The sequence below is a fragment of the Homo sapiens genome, chromosome 2 (genome assembly GCF_000001405.40).
Source record: "Homo sapiens chromosome 2, GRCh38.p14 Primary Assembly".
NCBI classification, from domain to species: Eukaryota; Metazoa; Chordata; class Mammalia; order Primates; family Hominidae; genus Homo; species Homo sapiens.
In genome coordinates this window covers 41,823,989-41,828,839 of record NC_000002.12, presented here as the reverse complement: position 1 = coordinate 41,828,839, position 4,851 = coordinate 41,823,989, and positions in this window count along the sequence as shown.

Below are 4,851 nucleotides of genomic sequence, written 5' to 3'. Positions count from 1 at the left end.
CTGGGGTCCAGTGCTCCCCCCAGCTCTTCTCCCCAGTTATTACCCAAGGAATGGCCCTACTTCAATCATGTATGCTTTAAGGCTGTAGAGGAAAAAGTTGAGTTATTTTTCATATTGTTTAAAAATGTTTCTGCTGTAATCACTCTTTATATTTACTTGTGTCAAAATCAGTACCAGGAAAAAGATGGGTGATTTTTCATTAACCCCAAGAGGATCTGAATTGTTTTTATACTGGTTAATTTAATTATAACAAACTCAGTGAAGTCACTCTGTTAAACAGTAAAACAGTTAACAGTGGGTTAAACATTACAAAATCCAATTTCCTATAACAAATAAACAATGATTGGGGAATGCAATTTCCTACAACGGATAAGTAGGTGAGTTTTATAGTCTCAAGGTTAAAGATTGTATAATATTTAACCATTATAGTTAGAGAAAAATCCTACAAGGGACCTCTGTACAAACTACTGAATTTTATGATGACAAGATACAGAAAAAATGTAAATCTGACAAAAAAGCATTCTACCCCTCCAAGCTATCTAATGTTTGTATTCTTAGTGGGTTTAAGTTAACTGACTGGTAAATATTTTCCAGTTCTTATCTGTATAACAAGGTGTAATTATTAGCTTAGTGCAGAGTATTCTCAAAGCCTCATGTCAATAGGTCAGTTTCTTAATCTCTCAAGACTGCTCTATGAGAAACTTGTGACTTCTGGTTTTTAACTGTAATTTTAATTAAAAGTTAATTTAAAAATTTAGGGTTTGTAATTTTAATTTCCATAGTATAAATTTAAAAGCCATTTGCATTTGACTTGCCTCTAGTTGACAAATAATATCTTTGACCCACAGATAAAGGAATTTTAAGAATTGCTCAAGGAAAAGTATTTTTTTCTGCAGTGGAACAAGGAGTAACTTTACGGTTTCTGAAATCATGACATTCAGAGATCCTTTCTGAAGCTGGCCTAGCAGGTTAATGCAATATGGGCATTGTTTTCTCGAAGCTGAGGTTACAGCAAACAGAGCACTCTCCTATATGTGAACAAAGAACGCTGGTTCATATAAGGGAGGGTGCCACACAGGGGTCACCGTAAGGTTGCATAAGCCAGAAAATGAGCCAGAGGGGACTGCTGAGTCCCAGGAGAGCTGCCATACAGGCTTGGATTTCTTAATTTTTTATCTATTCTTGTATAGTCTGTTAAAAACTATATCTATTGAGTCTTCAAAGCACTGTGCCAGCATTATAGCTATTAAGGTAAGCAAGATAGACTAGTATTCTCAAGTGACTTACAGCTTCATGGGGAAAACAAATAGGTAAATAAGTAATTGTGAAAGGGTGTGATAAGTTTCACAACAGGGAAAGATTAGGGTGTTGGGAGAACACAGCAGGGGGGACCCAGCCTCATCAAGTGGAGGTCGGAAAGTGGCCTTTTCCGAGGTCTGAAGGATGAGTAGGGGAAGCCAGTAGAGGGAGGAGTTTAGGAATGAGGTTCCAGATGGGAGTTCTTCTTGTGTGAAGTCCTAGGAGCAAAAGATAATGCAGTGCATTGGGAATTGAAAGAAATTTACTGTGGGAGGAGAGGAGGTAGTTGCAGGGTGTGAGAAGCAAGCGGGAGAGTAGGCTGGAAAGATAGGTAGGGCTCCACTAGACAGGCCATGGTGAGGTGAGAGTTTAGCTAAAAGGCACTGAGAAGCCACTGAAAGGCTTAAAGATAGAACATGATGTGGTGAGTCATATTTTAGGACTTTAGTTGTTTTTAGGAAAATAACTCATTGTGATTGAAAGAAGAGATTGGAAGGAGACACAATTAGGGGCAGTGAGACCAGTTAGGTAGCTATTGCAGATTTTCAGTTGACAGATTTTGAGAGTCTGGACTAAGGCAGTGTCATTGGAAATGCAGATAGGTAGGAGGGCATTGAGAAGGTAAATAGGCTTGGTGAAAAATTCAATGTGGATATGAGGAAGAAGAAGAATCTAGTGTGGCTGGTGTATGAAAATGCCACAGATTGAGCTATTCAGGAATAGATTTGAGATGGGGAGGATGATGTTCAGTTTTGGACTCGTTGAATTTTGGTCCATTTTGGGCTTGTTGAATTTAGCAGGATGTGAGTTACATGGGTCTGGAGCTTGAGAGACTTGTATGAGCTGGTAATATAGATGGTAAATGAAACCTGGGAGAAGGTATAAAGGGAAAAGAGAAGGGAGACTAGGACAGAATACTGAAACATCAGCATTTGAGTGACAGGGAGAAGAGAAATGTCCTATGGCCAGAGAGGAGGAGGAAAACCAGGGAAGCCTGGGCCAAGGAAGAGACCGTTTCAAAAAGGGAGAGGTTAATGTATCAAATGCTGAGCACAGGCTAAGTAAGATAAGGACTGAAGAGTGTCTGTTGGAGCTAGTACAAGGTAGACCTTGGAATCTATGGTAAGAGAAGTTTAAGAGCAGTTGTGGGCCAGAAACCAAATTACACTGGAGTGGAAAGAAGAGGAAAAGAAGGCAGAGCATTTAATCAGTCTCCTTCAAAAGGAGAAGGGCTATGTTCTGAAAAGGACATGAGGCTAAGGAAACTTTCCCATCTCCTGATGGGAAAGAGGCAGTAGAGTGAGTAAGTTTGAAGATGCAAGAAACAGATGGCATAATCAATAAAATGAGGCGATGGGGAGTGGGATCCGAAAACTGAGGGGAGGAATTAGGCTTAAGTAGGAGGAGCTTTAATTTGTTGAGTGCAAAGGGGGCAAATATGAGCACAAATGTAGGCATCTTGCAGATGTGGAGGTCGGAATTTGCCACAGCAACCCACATTGGCTAAGAGACTTCAACCACTCCCACTATTCTAGCCCTCTGCCATTTCCTTTCAGCTGGGACAGCTTAAGACCAATTAAAATAATATTTTTAAAAGAGCTTTGAAAATGGTAGATGATTAGAAATGTAGTGAAGTGAAATGATTATGTGAAGTGGTGTGAAATGGTGGAAAAACTGGCTATGAAATTTACTTGTTGTGTGATTTTGGGAGGGCGCCTTCACCTCACTCAGATTCCTCAGTTTTCATTTATAAAGTAGCCTCTTCCTACCAGCTCTATAGAGTTATTGTTATCTTCCAGTGCAGTGGCTATCAGTGTGGGTTGTATGAGTATTGTCCATAAAGGGTGATGTGGGATGGGTAGGGCAAGTTTTAGTAGTGGTAACAATGAGGAAAGGGTGGCATTTGGTGAGCAGAAGGAGATTCAGGAATTCTGGACATCTCACAATCCACTTGACAATCTCACAGATTTTTCCCATCTCCACACCACATGACTCCCCCTGCCCTAAATAGTACTACTTCTTTAAACAATTAAGCTTTTCATTTTCAGTTAATTGTATATTCACATGAAATAATACTGAGCGGTCCATGCACTTTTTACTCAGTTTCCTCCAATAGTAACATCTTGCAAAACTAGAGTATAATATCGCAACCAAGATACTGACATTGACACAGTCAAGATACAGTACATTTCCATCACTACAACGATCCTTCCTGCTGCCTTTTTTTAGCCACACCCACTTCCCTTCTCTCCTCCCTCCTTAATACGTGGCAACAATTGATCTGTTCTCCATTACTATAATTTTGTCCTTTCAAGAATGTTTTATAAAAGGTTAATGTGCAATCTTTTGAGATTGGCTTTTTTTTTTTTACTCAGTTCATTTTTTTTTGAAATTCATCGAAGTTGTTGTATGTATCAATATTATTGCTGAGTAGTATTCCATGGTATGAATATTTGAAAGTTGTTTCGCTATTCACTCATTGAAGGACATCTAGGTTGTTTTCAGTTCCGGGTTATAACAAATAAAGCTGCTATAAACAGTCATATATGGATTCTTGTGTGAACACAGCTCTTCATTTCTCTGGGATAAATGCCTGGTAATGCAATTGCTGGGTCACAAGGTAGTTGTACGTTTAGTTTTTAGAGGAACTGTATTCCAGAGTGGCTTGTACTCATTTTATATTCTCACCAACAATGTATGAGTGATCCGGTTTCTTCATAACCTTGAAGGTTTCTTCATAACCTTGATCTAGTTCCTTCATAACATTGCCAGCATTTGGTGTTTTCACTATTTTTTTTTTTTTTTTGAGATGGAGTCTCACTCTGTCACCCAGGCTGGAGTATAGTGGCATGATCTTTGCCCACTGCAACCTCTGCCTCCCGGGTTCAAGTGATTCTTATACCTCAGCCTTCTGAGTAGCTGTGACTACAGGCATGAATCACCACACCTGACTAATTTTTGTATTTTTAGTAGAGACAGGGTTTCACTATGTTGCCCAGGCTGGTCTCGAACTCCTGACCTCAAGTGATCCACCTGCCTTGGCTTCCCAAAGTGCTGGGATTAGAGGCGTGAGCCACCACACCCAGATAGGTGTTGTCACAGTTTTTTATTTTAGGCATTCTGATACGTGTATAGAGATATCTCAGTGTGGTGTTAATTTTTCATTTCCTTAATGGCTACTGATGTGAAAATATTTTTATGTGCTTATTTGTCATCTGTATATCCTTTTTGATGAAATGTCTATGTAATTTTCTCATTTTCTTATCTGATGTTTCTTAATTGTCACATTTTGAGAGTTCTTTTCACATTCTAGATAACAGTCGTTTGTTGACTATTGGTTTGATTATGGTTTGCAAATATTTTCTCCCATTATGTAGCTTGTCTTTTCATCCCCTCAGCAACAGTCTTTCGCAGAGCAAATTTTAAATTTTGATGAAGTCCAATTTATCATTTTTTCCTTTAATGGATCATGCTTTTGGTGACAAGTCTAAACATTCTTTGCCTATCCCTGGATCCTGAAGATTTTCTCCCAAGTTTTATTTTCTAAAAGTT